The sequence below is a fragment of the Homo sapiens genome, chromosome 6 (genome assembly GCF_000001405.40).
Source record: "Homo sapiens chromosome 6, GRCh38.p14 Primary Assembly".
Taxonomy (NCBI): domain Eukaryota; kingdom Metazoa; phylum Chordata; class Mammalia; order Primates; family Hominidae; genus Homo; species Homo sapiens.
Genome location: NC_000006.12, coordinates 96,199,511 through 96,220,883, shown reverse-complemented (window position 1 = coordinate 96,220,883; position 21,373 = coordinate 96,199,511). Strand labels below are relative to the sequence as shown.

Below are 21,373 nucleotides of genomic sequence, written 5' to 3'. Positions count from 1 at the left end.
GCACATATACACCATGGAATACTATGCACCTACAAAAAAGAATGAGTTCATGTCCTTTGCAGGGACATGGATGAAACTTGAAATCATCATTCCCAGCAAACTAACACATGCACAGAAAACCAAACACCGCATGTTCTCACTCATAAGTGGGAGTTGAACAATGAGAACACATGGACACAGGGAGGGGAACATCACACACTGGGGCCTGTTGGGGGGTGGAGGGCAAGGCGAGGGATAGCATTAGGAGAAATACCTAATCCATGCAGGGCTTTAAAACCTAGATGATGGGTTGATGAGTGCAGCAAACCACCATGGCACAAGTATACCTATGTAACAAACCTGCACGTTCTGCACATGTATCCCAGAACTTAAAGTACAATTAAAAAAAAGAAAAAATGTAATATTCTACAAAATAACTTGCTAGTACTCTTCTAAAGTATCAGTCATAAAAGACAAAGGACTGTGGAAGTGTCTCAGAATGGAAGAAATTAAGGAGACATGACAACTAAATTCAATGTGTGAACTTGGATTAGATCCTGATCCCGATAAAGGCCATTTGTGGGGCAATTGGTAAAATTCAGGTTATGTCTATAGATTAGTTAATGATATTGTACGAAAGTGTTGTTTTTGATCTCTATACTATGTTAACATTTGACAAGATGTTAATAGTTAAGGAAACTTGGATGAGGGTTATAGCAGAACCCTGCAAAAATTTTTAATTTTTTTACAATTCTTAAGTTCTCATAAAATGGGAAGTTAAAACATTAAAAATGTGGAAATGCAATTCTTAAAGACTGAATTAAGAAACTAGCACTATCTTGTGTCATTTTAGTTCTAAACTGACACATACACACATTCACACATACACACAGACATGCACACAGAAGAGATATAGTTTGATTTTATGGTTACAGTTCATTTCTACACTAAAATGATCATTGCTATTTTGATCCTAGTAAGGATCAAAAGAGTACTTTTTCCTACTCATAAAGTAAGGAAAACAGTTATCTTCTTAATTTTTTTTCTTGCTTAGTCAGGCTATCTTTTTTTTTTAATTTTGTTTATTTCTTTACATATTTTGAGACAGAGTCTCACTCTGTTGCCCAGGATGGAGTGCAGTGGCACAATCTCGGCTCACTGCAAGCTCCAGCTCCTGGGTTCAAAGGATTCTCCTACCTCAGCCTCCCAAGTAGCTGGGATTACAGGCACCTTCCACCACGCCCAGCTAATTTTTCTATTTTTAGTAGAGATGGGGTCTCACCATGTTGGCCAGGCTGGTCTTGAACTCCTGACCTCAAATGATACACCCGACTCAGCCTCCCAAAGTGCTGGGACTATAGGCGTGAGCCACCGCACCTGGCCTGAGGTGATCTTTTAAAAATAGACATCCCAAAGTGTACTTAGCACAGAATATAAAACGTATATGTCTGTAGCATCCACATCTGTACTTGGTGAGCCTTCTCTCAGATGAATGGGATCCCAGCCACTCCCTCTCCCCTCCTTCTCTTCTTCCTGACATCTCCTCCTACCTTCTATGCCATGTTCTGCTACCCTTTTTTTGCTACTGCATTTCACATATATATATGCATTTGTTTCTCTTTTCTACCTTATTCTACCTTGTCTGTAGAATCACTTGTCTGTCCTTGGAATATCATTTGTTGCCTGTTTCCCTAACTTGTGAAATCACATTAATACTTAACTTTCTAGAATAAACTTTCTTTTAACACCTACAACTTGGGTCTACCTTTCTAGTACCTGCCCTGCTTCACTTAGCAAAAGTAATTCTAGGTCACAAGTTCTAGTTTGTCCTGTTTCACTATGCTCAACTATGCCATGTTGTAAAGGCATTTGAGCCTGGAGATGGTTAGGTTGAGGGCAAGGAGAAATAAGTAAGATCAAAAACGTTGGCACTAGCATAATTTGGAACATAGACTTAAGGGACACCATTTGATGCAGTGTTCAGTCTGAGTGATCATTTGCAAACATGGTCATTTACTAAACTAAATACCATGTGTTGACAAATTTAATAAATGGCTAAATGGCCATACAAATATTTTCTTGTAATTCTAAACTCATATACTCTAAAATTAGAATTTTGGCTTGACATAATTTGGCTTTGAATAAATAAAATCCTGAGTTTTAGGTCTGCCTCTAGCTTTTGGGCATAATATTTAACATTTTGACAGAACCTGGCAATCCCAAATGGACACTGGACCTTAAAGTATAATCTATTTGGTCTCTTTTACCAGATTGTATATTCTAGGTATTTGTGTCCTTGCTGGTTTTTGGTAATTGGGCATATTTTCCTCCCGAATTATGGCAACCTATCTGTTGATAAAGGTATTCCAATTTTTAAAAAATCCTTTTTACAGTATAAGACAGAGTGAAAACAAAAGACAAGGAGGGCAAAACTCCATCATCCATTTGGAAAGGAGTTTCAGTTTCTCTCAAGCCAGTTCTATGCTCAAAAAAGGTTGTCGGACCACTTACAGTATGAGAAATTCTGAGTTATTACTATTGCCAGCTTACTTCAGATGTAATTCCCAAATCAGAATCTGTTCTGTGCGGAATTTTTTTTTCAGAGTACCTAACTACTGAGCGTAGACTATCAAAAATTTATATTCCTCCTGTTTGTAGGAAGCATCCAGTCATGTTCTAGGACTCTTCTCTGTGAGGAAAACCACCTTCTGGCCAGGCGTGGTGGCTCACGCCTGTAATCCCAGCACTTTGTGAGGCCGAGGTGGGTGGATCACGAGGTCAGGAGATCGAGACCATCCTGCCTAACACGGTGAAACCCCGTTTCTACTAAAAATACAAAAAATTAGCCGGGCGTCTTGGTGGGTGCCTATAGTCCCAGCTACTCGGGAGGCTGAGGCAGGAGAATGGCGTGAACCCGGAAAGCAGAGCTTGTAGTGAGCCGAGATCACACCACTACACTCCAGCCTGGGCAACAGGGCAAGACTCCGTCTTTAAAAAAAAAAAAAAGAAAACCATCTTCTATCTAGAATAGACAGAATAGAGCAGTAACATGAAGATCTATGTTTTGTTTTGTTTTCTTTTGACAAACAAAGTGACAGAGTGACTGGGTCTCACTCTATCACTAAGGCTGGAGTGCAGTGGCACAATAATCACAGCTTAGTGCAACCTCGAACTCCTGGACTCAAGCGATCCTCCTGCCTAAGCCTTCTGAGTAGTTAGTACCGCAGGTACATGCCACCATGCTAGGCCTGAAGATCTATGTTTTTAACAACAACAACAAAAATATGTTAAAAGACAATGATTTAATAGTGACTGGGGGAACTGAAGAAAAGATGTATTATAAAAATGTTTGTGTTCCTTTTAAAATAATAGCTGAGATATTGAGTGCTTGTGGTGTCAGATAATGTTCTAAATAATGTATGTGCATTAACTCACTTATCTTTACAATTTAGGAGAAAGTGTCATTATTCCTTCTTTTCATACAAGAAAATTAAGGTGAAGAAGGGTGAAATAACTTCCCCAAGGCCACACCACTGGAAGTGGAAGAGCTGTAGAATGTGAGCAGTCCAGCCTCAGAACCCAAACACTTAGAGACACGATATCACATGGTTTCTCTCAGCCAAAGGGAGACATTGTCCACTGAAACACCTTGGAACAGGCCATGAGGGTGGATAAGATGTTATGATGCTAGTTTACATTTTGTAATGATTTAGAGTTTTAAAAAGATACATTTCGTGGCTTTGCACACACCCATACATCTGCCCATAATTATTCGGTGACTTTAAATCATGCAGCAGTATGAATCAAATCAAACTAACTCAATTCAAATCAACCAACCTAGTTTACATTTATCAGTTTGAATGTCAAGCTCCCTACATTCTGACCTTTTCATTTTTAAATCACTAATGCCTTATCTAACACTATTCTTCTTCATGAACATACAACTAAAATGAGCCATATTTATTCAATGTATGCTCTTCGCAAGACCTTGTTCTTGTTTCATTGGAAGGTCTATCCACATGTTCTGCTTGTTTAACTAAATTAGTCTTTCAAGGACTGTCTCACAACTCATTTCTTCCAGGATATTGCTAATAACCTTACTTGCCTCTTGGCCTTTGAACACATCTGAAATATATTTTACATCTGAAATGTATTTTGCATCATAATGAATATGACCCTGGACTGTAATCTTAAGGATGCTGAGAATTCACTGGGTAGAAAAGCTTTCTGAGCTCTGGGTGGTATGAGAGGTATCAAAGATGAGGAAACGTTATAGGGTAATAAAAGGGAGCAAAAAAGAGCTTAGAAAATGTAATAGAAGTCAAATGTTAAAGGACAGTATATGATCTGCTCCCAGATAAAGAATTCATCCTAAGAAATATGAGGAACCAATGAAAAATCCTAATAACTATGTGACTTTGGGGAAAAACTACTGGTTAATCAACACTCTAAGCTGAGTTCTCTCTGTATCACCTTTCCTCTGTGTTTTTTTTTATCCAGTTGTGGCAATGTTGAGTGTAGATTTTTGAGACTTTAAGAAGTTATTCCTTTACTCCAGGTAAGAAATATTGAAGGCTCTATTGACTAAATGAAGCCGTGCAGTGGATCAGAAGAAAAGTGACATATTTAAGAGAAATTTCATAGTCAATTTAATGTGGGGAAAAGGAAAAAGAAGAATTAAGGATAATTCTAAGTTTTTGACTTAGGCAACATAACTTATAATAGTGCCCTTAAGTGAATTAAAGTTTAGAGAGAATTAGGTGTTTCCATTCCCTTACAGTGGGCTATCCCTGTCAATGGACCTGCAGGAAGTTAGGTGACAGTAGGAAATTGGATATAAACACTTGAGATCTTAGCATATTGGTAATTGTTGATTCTATAGGCCTGAATATAAACAACCAAAAGAGTATGTAAAATAGCAGATAATTCAGAATGCAAGGTGAGACATTTCCAAAGCCAAGATCAAGGCAGAATAGAGAAGGTTGAATAGATTCTTCTATTCCCCATGCATACAAGCCCAAATCATTAACAGGCCTAATTGCAGCCCTGAATCCATTAAAGCAATGCAAGAGTAAGGAAACAAAGTAGTGTAGAACTTTTTATGTATGAACACTGACTGTCCCTTTTGATGCAATATTTGTAATGAGTGTATAATCTGGAAAATATATTTATGTAGTTTTAACATTTTAATTCAATATATATAGAATGCAGATTTGCATCGAAGTAAAAATGAATCTTCTCAAGTGAATAATTTTGAATGTAAGAATTATAAATAACCAGCACTAGCTAGTATACATTTAAATTGAATTCTTTTATTTTAAATATTCACATTACAGGAATTCATTAGGTCAGAATAGAACATCATTATTTACACATTCAAGGAATAACTCCAGTGCTAAATCAGCGAGGTACTTACACTGAATTTAGGAAATATGACTGAAGAGAGAGTTTCTTCTTACACATACAGGCTCAAATCCTTTATACATTTATTTCTGCCTTGGAATCTTAGTACATATTGCTGAAATCACTATTAATTGCTGAATAAAATTTCACAAAATTATAGCAATCACACCATATATTTATAAGCCTAGAAAGACATCCATGAGAAGGAATCCATGTTGTGACAGCATGTTTAAGGGAAGAAAATTTCAAATGACATCTCCAGTTTAATTTGTGGAAAACACGAGTTCTCCAAATAGCTGAATATACAGATTTTCTCTGGCATCTTGCCTTTCATGGCTTATTAAAATATTTGCTTAGCTGCCTTAAAGTGTTATGTTATTTACAGTTTCAATCAATGAAGGGAACAATGTGGTAGCAAACTAAGTGCCTAGATCAATGTTAGCTGAATGTCACACACATACACTATCTTGGTTGGTAAAGTCGGCGTCTACAGTGCTAGGACTGACTACTCCTCATTTGAATTAATGCTTTGCTCCCAGGATGCAGCAGGACTCAGCTGCATGATTTTCACTTGGAATAATAGCTACAGTCAATTTTTCTTATCATTATACTAACTTCACTGAAGCTGTTAAATTGAACTGGAAGGAACCAATCTTCTGTAAATAAATAAATAAATAAATGTATAAATAGGATTCCCATCATTTTAATAACATAGCAATGAAATTACCTTCCAACAGTGTAAATGCTTACTGTCATGTTTTAAGTCACTAAGAGCTACGTTCCAGCCTTAATATATTACCATGAATGATTAATTTCATGGGAGGAGAGATGATTGATCCACACATATTACCTGTTTGGGATTAAGCCCTTTCAAAAGCACAGGTATGTTTTCTGAATAAAAGAGAAAAGCTAAACAAAACAAACCCTTCATTAAATGGAATAATTTTTGTTATTTTCAAAGACTGCTTCAAATTATCTGCATGTAAAGGCTCCTCTGCAGCCAACATTCATATTTTTATACAATTTTTATTACTTAAGTTAATAAGTAAAAGGGTAGGCCTACTTTTTCTTCCCCTAGTGATTACACTGGTTGACTGTCAAGACTGCCTAGATGTTCTATGTTATTGCCCAATTTAGTGTTGTGCAGACCTGACCTCAGGTGACTGGCAGTAGTACTGATTTAGGCAGTGTATAAAAAGATATACCATTCTCAGTTATAGAAAAAGCTGCCAGAATATTATGTTCATAGAATGAAACTGGTTAAGATGATATTTTCACATCTTCATGCTTTGTACTATTAAGTTGTTATACAGTAAATTGTATCACTTGCCAACAAATAATTTGTTGTATTTATTGCCAACAATAACTCCAAAAATAAAGTTTTGGGAGAAAATTTACCACAATATGCTGCAGTTAGAAAAAAGAAACGCAGCATTGTTTATTGGCTCATTAGCACTATGAATAACATTTTCACTTTACCAAATGTTGAAAAGGGACTTTTGAAAGGACGTGAATCATGCATACGGATTGAGACAGAGCCTGTGTGTGAGTGGCAGTGTAAATGTCCCCAAAGCTGCATGATTCACCAATTGCATGCAATTTTTCACCTAATATAAACACAACCTTAATATAGTCATATAATTTCTAACACATCTTATTTCAAACATGCATTAGCTACTAAAATAAGATTTAAAGAAAAGTTGATGTTTGATATAAAATAATCATGTTTTTTTCAAGTGTGGAAAAATACTCTACAAAAAAATAAGTAGAAAAATGATTTCTGATCAACATGTGATTTTATCTATAAAAATCCAGATGACTAATTAGTGTGCTTAAAATAACCCTATTGGGTCTGCATCGCAATAATACATACACAGAAAGTTAATAGCAATAAACAACTATTAGCACAATGCAATTAAATTCTTATCAGAAATAACACGAACCTATAAACTGTACATTTGGCATTATGTTTCAGGGTATTTTTAAGAGTTTGATTAAATATGACAATACAATAGTGCAAAATTACATCACATTAATAAAACATACAATTACCATCCAAATAATTTATGGATTACTGACCCTTACAATTCACATAATGGCTAGAATTGTCACATTTTGTTTCAGAATAATAGTTTTGACCTTCCTTGAATGTAAGTCATTTTATTCAAAGTTATACTTGAACTACATAAAAAAGATATTGGCATATGTGTGTCTATATGTGCATTCTTGAGGGAATGAGGCAAGAGAAATCATGTAAAGTCCTAACTCTTCATTTTCAGAACTTCATTGCAGTATTTTGCTTCAGCAACCTTTTATTCAGAGCTCCTGAAGCAATTACACATTAACTTCTTCCCCACCCCTTGTAGTGACATGGCCACATGGAAATGCGCAGTAAGAAAAGAAGAAAACATCTGCACGAATATATGGCAGTTTGTGCACTGTGCCAGGCTAATTAAATTAGAATTTCTAACCAATTCATCAAGATTTATTAAGAGCTTCTCAGGTACTTCTAATGTACAGTCCATCACACTCCTTTTACAGATTAAAAATCTATGGCTCAGAAATGTTAGTGAATTATACAGCAGATTGTGAAAACTGGAACTTGGGCTTTGATCCTTAGTTTACTACTCCTCTTCTTGTTTCTTGTTGACACTTTTCTCCTTTTTGCCGCTTTGTGAACTTGAATCTAGGTACAGACTTGTTAGCTCCTTACTTTTTCCATTTAAAAATCTCTTCTCTACATTCGTATTGTCTTGGAATCAGAATAAGACATATTATTATAATGAAGATGTTTAACCTCAACAATTTCATTCAAGTAATTTTGACCAGTTGCATTTCTGCAAGCACACATTACTTCCTACCTTCATCTCATACATTATTTACCTTTTAGGGATTCTATAACAATGCCATTTTATATTGTCACAATTACTCCCTTAACCCCGATTAAGCTGAAAGTTCTTTTTTTTCCCTTCTAAGTAAAATCTTGTTCTCAAATATGATAGTCTTTGTTTTTTGATTAATTATTTTAAAATCACATATGAAATATTCAAGATAGATTATCTTTTATCTAAAAAGTAGACTACTTCCAGGTTTACATAGACAATCAGATAATCTTCATTTGCTTAAGGACTCTTGAGGCAGAAAACCAGTAAATGAAAAGCCTGATCTCATTACAGTCCCTGGAGACATGTATTCCATCCTAGATGAGCTCATATCCTCTGGCAATCTCACCTTGGACAAGGATGGCATCTTCAGGATTATCTCATTTAAGGAACTGAAGGTGGCTAATGAGGCCAATCTGAGACTGGAGATGTGATATTGTAACTCTGGCCCATATTTCTCACATAATGAGTGGTAGTCCTGGGTTGTTAATTTAGCCTTTGGATACTGCTTCTGCAGAGACTGCCTTTCTATTTCCTGAACCCTCATTAATCAAAATGGAATGCAGCCATGTGTGGAAAGTTAGCATGTTAGCATAACTTTCTGTAGAATTGGCCCTTAAAATTTTTCAGATAAAATCTATATTTGTTTTCCACAATAAAATTCCAGCAAGCTATAACTTAACTTACTTTACTTACACAACTAATTCAAAATTGTTTGGTTTCCAGAGAACTCAGAAAAATAAATCAGTTTTTGAAGTTTTCTAATGTTACTGACATAACAGACATTTCTAATACTCTTTAAAGGAACACAATTAGAAACTACTTAAAAATACTATTTTGAATATCATTCTCTTTTTCATATAGAAAAATAGAAATTTTCCTTGAGCCTACTTTTTTATTCTAACATAGTACAGCTTTAAATTTGTACACTTGAACAACTGAGATTATTCACGTCAAAGCTATTTATTATGCAATTATGGTAGCCTTAATCACAGGCTGGCTAACAATTATTTTATTTCTGAACCACTAGATAAATACTCCTGTTTATTGAAGTTATACCCTAACATATTAAAAGCAACTTTTAGCTTTTTTTTAAATTAGTTTAAGAGTAGATGGAGACTTCCTAACAAATCATTAACTAGTCCTGTGTCAAAACTAGTGGACCAGCTGAAGTGATGGATTAAGTCAAACTGTTAAATATTGCTAGGCCTTTTTCTTTACCAGAAAATGATCTCTGAGAATCTTCTTGCTATCCTATTCTGTGACATGCGCTATACCAACTGATAATAAGTTAAATTGACTACAAATTTACTGATTGCTCATAACAGGGAGAGAAAATTAGGACTGCTTGAGTTCCAATTATCTTAAGAAATGGTATATATATTTAGTAATGCAAACAATGCCTATTCACCACCACTGCCAGCTCCTCACACCCCTTCCGTAACTTAGTAATTATGGGAAACATGAATATATGCTTCCATGCTGTATTTATTTGTTTCCGTTTTGCTGAATGTTGTTCCTTCGGCTTGTATAAAATTTCAATGATTCCTACAAACTGCCTGTTTAATGTCTTCAGAGTTTTAGAATTAAAATTGTGAAAATAGCACTGGATTCCTCACAATTATCTTTTATAAGAATAAAAGATAACACTTGAACACATATCTAGTCACCTGAATATAATTTCTCAGAAATATGCTACCTCTGCTTTACAGCTGCAAAATCTGAGGATAAGAGAAGTTGAGTAACTTGCACATAGCTAGTGAATGGCAGACCTTGGATTCAATTCTAAATCTGTAGTTGTCAAAAATTTGGATGCTACAATTCTTTGCCATATCTCAATTGCAAATTACCTATCAGACAAGGAGACTTTGGAACCCAAGAATGTGGTCTCTTAAACACATACAATAGAAAAGCAGATCACAGAAGCATATATCCTAGTAATTGTCTAGACCAGTCTTTCCTGTTGCAAAATATAAACATGCAGTTAGAACCTAGAAAGCAAATTAGAGATTTTTTTCAAGATATATAATCTTTTATTTTCCTAATAGTTCCTCCAAGACGAGAACTGGTGATTTCCTGAGGTATGCCTGCATTAGTATTACCTGTGGAACATTTACACCTGTTAGACTTCTGGGCTCTTCCTCAAACTAAATAGATCAGCTCTCTGGAGGTGGGGTTTGGACATCTGCAATTTTAAAGCCTCTCCAGATGGTTCTAATGTGCATTCAGGTTCGCGAACTACTATAAGCAACTCGCAACTGGAAAAAGTGTCTGGAGACTATAAATAACCTGCCCCAAGTCACAAGACTGGTGAGTTCCACGCTCTTGTGTGAAATAATTAGGTATACAAAATGTCTTGGATTTTGAAGTAGAATACTTTACCGATATATTTAAGAAGATTCCAGGTGAACTAAAGAAAGGTAATACCTCATATTTAATAGAATACTACCCATCTAAACAGGTGGGATGAAAACCTCAAAACTAGCAGGACACCAGAACCATCTGGGGAGATTTTTAAAATAAGATTCCTGGTCCCATCTCACACCCAGAGATTCAGAAGCTGTGTATTATTAACAATATTTCAAATGATTTTTATGTAGATGATCTAGGAAGTTTCAAAGGCATATGCATGTTTGAGAACTGCTAGTTTAGGACAGGATGGTTCACCAGTTATAGCAGAAACAGGATAATTTTGGAAATGTATTAAAAGCATGCTCTTTTTTTGGGTGACGGGGGGGCATGGATTATTTGAAGAAATTCTAATTTCATGGCTCAAAGCCCAGAAATCGGTATTGTTAACACTTCTGGTGATTCTAGGTCAGGTGACCTAGGAAGCATGCTTTGAGTAAAACTGACAGAAAGCAACTGGTGTTTGAGAGGTTATTTTTAAATAAAATATTTTTAAAGTAAATCAAATGCATGGACATATGTTAACTATGAGCTAAAAAATAACTAAATGTTCAAATGAACTCAATCTAGCTTACTTAAAATTATGCTATTTTATTGTTAGCCTGGGATTGCCTCAGGTATTTCCAATGACTCCCTAAATTTTTTGCATCAATAAATATCTTTAGATTTTTGTAATAAGAGTTTGAATAGTACAGAAAACTCTAAAATATTTCAAAATAATGCCTAAAATATGATTGATTTTTCTGCAGGCAATTAAGATGTCAGTGAGCAGTGAGTTCAAAAGTCATAGACAACTAAGGGGAGGGAGGAAATACAGGAGGAATGTCAGTTAATTGAGCACTTTCTATATTCCAAGCTCTGGATTAGGTTCTTTCCACATATTAGTTTAAATAATCAATTTCATACTTTAAATATCTACACAGAGAAATGAGAAGGAAATCTGTATGGAATATCCTAAAAAATTACTTTGAGATGGACATTGAAATTCCATTAGGAATTTCATGCATATATCAATTTCGATCTTAGATAAGAGTAATAGTGCTAGAAGAAAGCTTACAAACAAGGTCCAGAGAGGTTAAGTGGCTCTCTCAAAATTAGTTTGTTGAACTAATAACCTAGGGTAGCACTCACATTCCAGATTTAGCCGGCTATATCTTATTTAGATTCTGTTAACTGTTTTATAAAATGCATATGAATATGGATATATTCAATATGAATTACTAAAGGGGAGAACACTGTGGATAGTAGTGAAGCATACCCATTTGCAAAATGCTACAAAATCTCTAGATTGAGACATCCAGAAAAAAAAAATCACCTTAATTGACTGATTGCAATACAATGGAATGAAGTTAGGAGAGAGACTATATTTCTCTCCATGTGGTTTGGTAATAGATATCTGCCCTTCACAGTGCTCGCACTTTATACTCTCCTTAAATACTAATTTTCTTTCCTTTTAGAAACAGTTGATATGTTACTAATATTTGCATAGAATGTTAACGTGATCCAAATCCTTTCTAATCTTTCTTGAGATGTTACTTCTTTTGATGCTTTACAATGTTGTAAGATAGAAAGGAATTAAAATGCCTTCCTTTTGCATCCAGGTGACAAACTAACAAAATAAATATAAAATATCATCTCCAATTGGTACCAATAAACATTGTCACTACTCTTAAAAAATATTTTACAGGACCACTTATCACATTCATGTATTTATTCAACAAGTATTTGATATGACCCTCCTGTACATTAGGCACTGTGCTTATCCTTTAGATTCTGATGTTTGTTATATTTAACAGCTCGATTGTAATTGTTAAGAAGTTTCTCAAAATGTTTCTCAAAATGAGATCAGAGTTCAAGGGAACTCAAAGATATGATCAAACACAGTCATAAGGTAAGGACCTGAAATTTGTGGTAACTTTAATTCACGCAAAAAAAAAATTCTAGGATATTACCTTAAGACTCATGGAATCTAGTTTAAAAATAGGCTGACAAAAAAAATATCAGAGGCATAGTTTCCTATTCTTTTAATATTTAACCTCCAATTGGAGGTAAGAATTTAAAGCCTCCGCAAATAATTCCTAAATATTCTGTTGCTTTATACATCAAATGCGCTGAGCTTTCTAAGCCCCTCAAAATAAGAAACATTTCTGCACAATCTAAGATTATCAGGAGTTTTACAGTAAATATAACAATTTTAAGCATGTATTTGTTTCCCACTAAGATGATTTTTTTTTTCAGTTTCTACTTCATATTGTCAGATATACAGCTGTCATAATATATATGACTGTCAGGCTCTCATGTCTTTCTTGTTCAGGGTGTAATACTCTGGATGTGGACAATTCAGTATATATTCTTATTAGTAAGGTCTATAATGATTAACATTTATTTATTCTTACTGATGTCTACAATAATTAATATTTAAATATTTAGAGTATTGAAGGTAATAGCTTTTCGATATTTTGAAATAAAACATTTTAAATGGTCTGTTCCCTTTTTTGTGTCCACAATTTAATTCTAGGCATAATTATTGGTTTGTATAATCAACAGCAAACCAATTTTGTTGAATCAATATATCTTTTTCATGAGTTTCTTACAAAGAATTGCAACCCACAGGATTTATTAAAGGAGTGGCTGTGAACCATACACTTTCTTGAGGGTTGTATTTCACTTAAATGTAGTGATAGCCCATTTCCTTCTGCTGAACTCAACTCCTAAAATATTTAAACCAGAACGAATGCTAACAAGTTTGATGTTTTATTTATTGTATACCTTCAAAAGTCGAAGTTCTTCTACATGAGGTGTACCATTCTATAGGCCCTAAAAATACCAATAAGACATTCACATTTGTAAAAATTGAGACATAATTCTATAATAAGTTATGAATGCGATTGAAAAGAAAGTGGGATAAAGAAAGATAGGATCCTTAAATCCAAATCTTAACTATTGTCACTAGCTGTGGGGTGTGTGTGTGTGTGTGTGTATGTGTGTGTGAATGTGTGTCTTGAATAAATATCTCTGGATCTAGTTAACTCATAAGTAGAAAGAAAAGCAATTATAATTTCTATATTATAGCAATTATAAACAACAAAATTATAATTCCTTCCAGCTCTAAAACTCACACATCAATGGACCCACAGCTAAAGGGTTCCATTGAGTCATTTAATTCTTCCACTTCAAATTTAGGAAACAGTCTTCTGGGACTTAGTAATGGGGTTTCAAAGCACCTGCTAGATACTTAGTAGTACTGCCTCTACTTGCGTCATATTATCAGTGTGTGATTATAGTCATAGTCCAACAAAGAGCCTACATTTGTAGTCAACAATAGAGACACTGCCTTTAGGTCTTTCAGTTCTTTCAAATCATGAACATTCACTAGAGCCAAGGCAGGTTGAAATAATATTGAATGCTTTTAATATTGAATGTTTTTCTGCCTTCAAAAAAAACAGGTGGGCCAGACACAGTGGCTCATACCTGTAATCCCAGCACTTTGGGAGGCTGAGGCAAGTGGATCATTTGAGGTCAGGAGTTCAAGACCAGCCTGGCCAACACAGTGAAACCCATCTCTACTAAAAATACAAAAACTAGCCAGGCATAGTGGTACACGCCTGTAATCCTAGCTACTCGGGAGGCTGATACAGGAGAATCACTTGAACCTGGGAGGCCGAGGTTGCAGTGAGCCGAGACTGCACCACTGCACTCCGGCCTGGGCGACAGAGCAAGACTCTATCACAAAAATAATAATAATAAAAAAAAGCAGGTGCTTTCTAAACTTGTTAGCAGTGTATCCTCTTTAGATCTCTATGCTTTTTATAGACCAAAAAATTTGACAAAGTAAATGTAAATGTATGAATTTGACTGTCTTACCAATTAATTAAATATGGATGGAGATCTTTACTTATTGAGGAGGACATCCACATAAAAATATTATTTCTTAATGCATTGTGGTTAGAAGAGATAATACGGAGAGAATAATATGTTGGGTCAAAAGAGTTGACAAAGTTTGCAGCTCAGAAACATGTCAAACAGCTAAGCAATTGGGGAAATTTTCTACTTTTTTTCCCCATTAAATCAGCATTGACCCATACAAACGTCATTCGGAGTAGCACATGCATATAAACAGTCTCAGGCTGAATTGAAAGGAAGCTTTTATATGTCTATCCACTTAATTGTAAGCTCATTTTAGGCAGTGATAGTACCTTGTTCATCTTATCTCTGTGGGTGTTAAGGCAGTGCCTGACACTGCATTCAATCTTGGCTTAAGAAATATACCTGAGAATCAAACAATCCTCTATTCATTACAGGAATATTCCTCTGCTCAAATCTTTCTGGTGCTGGGGTGAGCTTATTCTCTCACAAGATAGTCTGGATAGCTGGATCTATGCCCTTTTTACTGAATTCTTTTTGAATTTTGCTGATGTCAATTTGTAATACGAATAAGTCACAAATAGACCCAAATGGATGTCTCAGAACATTCTAATTTTTGGGTGGATTATTGGCCTGAAAGGAATAAAGGCACTAAAGATCATTTTGAGGAATGTTTTCCTTGAAGAATCCTTAATGGCCCATCTTTTTTCACCTACGATCTCTGCTTATATCCAGCTCTCCTCTAGCCTTATGGAGGAGAATGCTATAGGCAGCTGCAAGTTCAGGAATATACTCTTCAAAATTTTCATGTAATGGTAGGTTTATTTGGTTCTATAAAGCCCTGAACATCATGGTCATATGTGCTATGTATGAATAATTACCAAAATGGGATATAAAAGTCATCTCCAATTAGTACTTCTAAAGTAGAACTGTCACTTCCTTGAAACAATCATTTTTCTGGGAATTCAATTGCATTTATTTATTCATCCAACAAATGTGCATTGAGATCTTACTGTGTGCTAACACTGTGTGTTTTCTATATATCCCCACTTTATTATATTTAACGTCTTATATTTAATACCTTGATGATAATTTTATTTAGGCTCTCTTAAATGATAGAACTCAAATCAAATGATAGGGCTCATCATTATGAGCCAAATCTTATATCCATATGGTAAAATAAGACCATTTTAAATATTAGGGCTTCAGAAAAAAATCTTAAATTGATACATAATTAAACATTGTTCATAAATGACACCATTTATAAATATATTTATAGGTATCATTTTTCTTTGTTATTTGAGGAAATTATTTGTTTTATTATGACAATGAGTGTCATCAGTAGCAGAAAGAACTGTCTTAGATTTTCTAAAGTATTATTGGGATTACTTCCCAGGTGCTGAAAATCACAACAAATTGGATATTTAAAAATACTTGAATAATTTAATTTAAGACCATGAGAATAAGTAGCTGCAAATCAGCTTAATGAAAATAAATGAGAAGTCTAATAGCTTCCCGAATAGAACAGTTCTGCTTCATATCTTTCTTATTCACTCCATGAATAATTTCACCTTCACAAATGTGATAAACAGGTAAAAAAAATAGATCAAATAGAGACAGTTATACACTTCATTCATCTTCGGAGTCAAAGAGGTTAGAATTCAATCGCAACATGTTCTTCCTCTGTTATAGTATGCAAAGTTGGAACTAGACATTGTAATACTTAGTGAAAATTTTTCATACTTTAAGATGTGCATCTTCATTTCCCAAATAGATTAAACAGCTGATCAGTGTGGAAACAATAATCAAACCACAAGCTTACATTATGGACAACTACAAAAATGTGAAAAAACAATGTTTACAAATGATAATGAAGAATAAATTACTCTCCAGTGCACATAATTAGGTATATACAGGATAATTTAAAACCGAATGGAATGATTGCTCATGCTGAGCTTTTAAAAATCTCCACCAAAATATACACGTTACCCTAGAGAGGGTGATAAAAATAAATTGTGACACAAAAGTAGTATGTTGCATCTCTTCTTATCCTCAATACTTGGATGATATCTCATCAAAATATTTATCAAGTGTGCAAGTGATGAAAAATTTTAATTCCAAAACCATTTCTCTAAATTACCAACAGACTTATATTCTTGATGCCTTTTCACATGATCGCAAGCCAAACATGCATGTGATTCCCAAAATCGTGGAAGATTTACAGTGAAATCCTTCCTCCAGTTAAAGTAACTAAGGTATAACTTATTGTTTTTGTCGACTTCCTTCAGATACTTTGCTAGCTCACTGGGAGAGTTATAATCTTCCACATGAATGAATGAATCTGCTGGAATATAATTCTCATAGTTTTCCCTAGATGGTCCCAGAACAACAGGTACAGAGCCAGCCAGAAAAGCATTGTATAGCTTTTCCGTGATGTAATCCTTGTGGATTGAATTTTCAAAGGAAAGATAAAATTTACAAGTAGATATGGTAGGAATCAAATTTTTATCATTGACATATTCTCCAAATGCTTGCCCGTAGGTATGGATTTCAATGCTTTTGCTTAGCTCATTGTAATACTTGACTCTGGCATGCTCAGGGTTCCAGTTACTCACAACCCAGCACACCAATTTCTCTTTGCTTGGCACTTCAAACACGAAGGGATTTGTGCTTACCGTCAAGAAGCCATAAGGCACTTGGATATCTGAATCACGGCGGTAAGTCAGAGTCAGGTTAAACAAGTGCTCAATGCCACTCTTTTGGGGAGTGTGAGTTGGTGATTCCAAATTCATCCAAATCCATTTCTGGAAGGGTGGCCTAGCTTGCTGAGGTAAATTTGTCAGATCCCAACTGATGTCTCGGTGATGGATCAGAACTGCATGGGATTTGTTGTACAGTGAACGGTCCGTTGTGAGATGGCATCCTTGGATGTTGAACATTGCTTGGCAGGATGTAAGGTCAAAGGTCTGCCCAAATGGCCACACCCACACCAGAATAGTAGTTTCATTAAAATAATCAGTTTTGGTGGAAAAGAAGTTTTTCATTTTCAGCACAGAGCTGGCTGATTCCATTGGACTGAAGATCCAGCTGTTGGTAGGTTTGATGTAAATGAGAAGACATGCCATGAAACAGCCCAGGATAATGCAGACAATTAAAAATGGGCGAAGAATTCCTTTGGATGTTGATGTCATAATTTTTCCTACGAAATAGAGAAAGACAGAAGGGGAGGTAGCGGTGGGAATGAAGAGAAAATCATAAATATATTGGAGATATATTTAAAATCATAAATATGAGATAAACAAGTAGTAATCAACTGCATTTTCCTTTTCAGTGTTATCAAACCATTGAGAGAAACAGAACTTTCCTCAAAGCCAAGAAACAGCTTTCAAAAGGAAGTTTCCCAAAAACTCTTCTAAAAGTACCAGCATATCTTCAAACCAAGTAACGTTTTTTTCAATGCTATCCTTAACTGTTCTACTTTTATTTGCTTGTAGAAAAGTGGCACAACCTAGACTGTCATCGCTAAAGCCATGACTAAAATTTTTAGTATTTTGTAACCACATCAGATTTGTGAACATCTCCCAGTTGATATAATCACTTATTTACTCGCATATTGAGACTGTACCATAACTTTGTGGTTCAGATGGAATTCGTTAGAAAACTAAACTGTTTTTAAAAACGTTATGTTTTTGTTTTTCTCGTTATAAATTTACCTTCACAGTTTGCAAATGCATTAGTATAATCATCTGGTAAAAAAATGGCAACTCTTGATTTGATACATTTTTAAAAAACAAGTACACTCAGGCAAATTTTATAAATTCAAAACTCACAGTGTTTTGTTTTTATTTATATATTTTTCTTACAGTTTTCTTTGTTTACTTTTAATAATTTGTTAGTACATCCAATATCTACCAAGATGTAATAATCAAATGTTCTATTTGCATTGGAAAAACGTTCTCACTTACATAGCCTAAGGGCTTTAAAAAAGTTTTTCTTTGTATTAAGATGATATCGGTATTATAAAAATAAACAAATTCTCAAAAAAGGGCTATATTTCATGAAGAACAACTTTGATGTCATGAATTTTAGCAGATTGTGGCTAAAAAGATGAGTGAAGGCTTTTTTTTTAAAGAAAAAAGTGTTTTCAAGTTTTTTTCTCTTCGGCATTCATGCCTCTTTATGGCTATGAACACAAAAATATATTTGCAAAAACTGTTTATTGATAAAATTCTCACGGGTCATTTGAAATTCATGTTGCTTCTCTTACGAAAATAATATGGCCTATAAATTTCAGACTCATTAAAGTATTTTGAAATTTTGACAGAAACTAGCATAGAAACATTAGATGTTTCCTTCCAAAAAACGGGAGAAATTATCCTTCATTTAATTACCTAAATATATGTGAACATTAAAAAAAGCACCTTCTTTTGCTATGTAGTTTTTCTTAAAGCATATGAGACTCTCTGAGTAGCAAAGCTTGACTGTGAGTCCAAAGATTTTGGACACTGCATTCTAGATCACTCCCAGAACTAAGGTATTGGAATCAGAGATTGCAGCTTCCTGTCAAAGTTGGTTTCAGTTCTATAGTCAATAAGAAAATGAAAACAAAAGATACATATCAAATATGTCTAGGTGCTAAATTATTAATCAATCCTTGGAATACAGAGAAAATCAGGAAAGAATTATGAAGGAAATTTCAGTTATTCAGAATTAAATGACATTAAATGACACTGAAGGTTCTACAAGCCAAATTTTGTTGTATATTTAAACAGAAGGAAATTATAGCTTTGCACACATTTCAGAAAATTAACAAATCGGTCAACTCAAGAAGCTATACAAAGAAAAATGGTAAAATGCTAAAAAAATAAGAAGGAAAAATGTTAAGGTAAGGGCCAGAAATTTGAAATGAGTAATAATGTCACAATATTTGAAAATACTCAAACTTTAGGCAAGAATAATGAAGAAAAAAGAAATTCAAATGTAATACCAAAAATAGCAAATAATTGTTGATTTAGCATAGATAAAAATTGAAGTAACTATTTTGAGTAATTTTATGTTGAAAAATTTGAAATATGACTAAATAGTTGTATTTTTGTACAAATACAGAAATACCAATATTTGTGAAAGAAAAATTCTGATTCAGCAGTTAACAGTTAAAGAAATGGAATTCATAAACAACAACAACTAAAGGCAAATACTAGGTCTAAATGGTTTTCCTATGATATCAACAATTCAATAAATTAGGAATACCATCCACCTTTTTTAAAAATTATTTTGGAAAATACAAAAATTAAGAAAGAAGCTTAGCTCATGAGGTCAATTATAATCTTGTTACCCAAGCAAGATATGACTTTGTTTAAAAAAAAAAAGTCATTTGTGCTTATGAACACAGATGCAAAAATACAAAAATTCAGCAATAATAAATATTAGAAATAGATCGTGATGTGATTCAAGAGTACGTTTATGGAAGTTTAGTTGCATTTGATCCTAAGTATAAATTTAATTGGACAATCTCTCAATTCCATCTAGACTCCAGAACTTACAGACTGAAAAACCTTACTGAAAGGGTCTCTTTTCATTGGAAAAACATTAACTTTTAATATGAATGATTTGACTGACTGTTGCAGTGTTTTCTTCCTGTGAGACCAATGTTTAATGTTTTTAGAAATACTCTGATTAAAAGTTTCCTTAAATCCTTTTTGAACTGAAATGCAATGGCAAAAACCATTAAATAAATGATGTCAGTTCAATATAATCAGGTTATAAATGAAATAGCCACCATTTAATAAATGCTCACCCTTAGCCAGGCCTTGTGCCAAGCATTTTACACACATCATTTCCTTTAATCCTTCTAGAACCCCTAAAAAGGACACCTTTTCTCATCCCTTCACAGATGAGGAAATTGCAGGCCACAGATACAAGTAACCAGCTTAACCACTGGATTGTGCTCTCTCTTTCCTTCTGTAATCTACTTTGAACAAATAATACAAACGTGAATAATCCATTTGCTATTGGTATCTCAAGTTTTGTTGTCTTGATTTCCCTGGTCTCTACCTTTTATTCTGTAATTAAGAACTATTTAACGATGAGTTGAATTTAGATTAATTTCTTTTAACAAGGGTATCTGACACATATATATGGCACTTATTAGTGTCAAACACTGATCTGAGCACTTATATTAACTTATACACACACACACCTATTAACTCATTATATCCCCATTTTATTGATAAAGAAACTGAGGCCCAAAATGATTAAGTGACTTGTCCAAAACCACACAGAGAGTTAATGGCACAAAATACTTTTCAAGCCCAGGCCACCTGGCTTTAGAATCTGGGCACTTGATAATTAACATTTTAGATCACTGATTCCCCAGGTTGCAGCCAGAATATGCAATCATTTTAGTGATACCAGAATGTAAGCTTTGTGAGGGGCTTTGTTTTCTTCACTGCTGTATCCTTATCACCAGAATGTAGTAGATGCTTAATAAATGCTGTATGTCTCATATGAATAAATGGGTGAATTGCTGCATCTCAACTATGTACAAGTACTGTGCTTGGTAGGTAACCAGATATACAAAAATTAGCCAAATGTGAATGAATGAATACGTACTTTGTTTCTTCCTCTGTGCATTTAGCATGGAGCTCTCTATGGAATTACTCCCATTAAAATTGGCATATGGCTATTCCTACCACTAGAAGAGCAAAATCTCCCAGTTTTGCCTCTCTGTTTTGTCTCAAAGTTAGCATCTATCCAGAACATTTTAGTTCCATGTCTCAGTCTCTCTCTCTCTCTCATTAGCCAAACGAGGAATTGATCACTAGACAGAAACGACG

At 34.4% G+C, this 21,373-nt stretch overlaps 1 protein-coding gene and 1 long non-coding RNA gene across 7 annotated transcripts in view; one reads left to right on the top strand and one right to left on the bottom strand.

Annotated features, from left to right (window-relative positions):
* Positions 1–20,541, top strand: part of UFL1-AS1 (UFL1 antisense RNA 1) — a 321,372-nt gene extending 300,831 nt beyond the window's left edge. The window contains exons 3-4 of the long non-coding RNA XR_007059687.1: positions 17,869–17,978; positions 20,431–20,541. This is a non-coding gene — a long non-coding RNA (UFL1 antisense RNA 1). The remainder of the gene's footprint in view (positions 1–17,868; positions 17,979–20,430) is intronic.
* FUT9 (fucosyltransferase 9) overlaps positions 5,272–21,373 on the bottom strand; it is a 199,639-nt gene continuing 183,537 nt past the window's right edge. For all 6 annotated transcript variants that reach the window (XM_047418089.1, XM_047418088.1, XM_017010190.2 and 3 more), the window contains one exon: positions 5,272–17,736. In XM_047418089.1, coding sequence (XP_047274045.1) covers positions 16,649–17,728 — 1,080 coding nt within the window. In that variant the 5' untranslated portion in view covers positions 17,729–17,736 and the 3' untranslated portion in view covers positions 5,272–16,648. The remainder of the gene's footprint in view (positions 17,737–21,373) is intronic.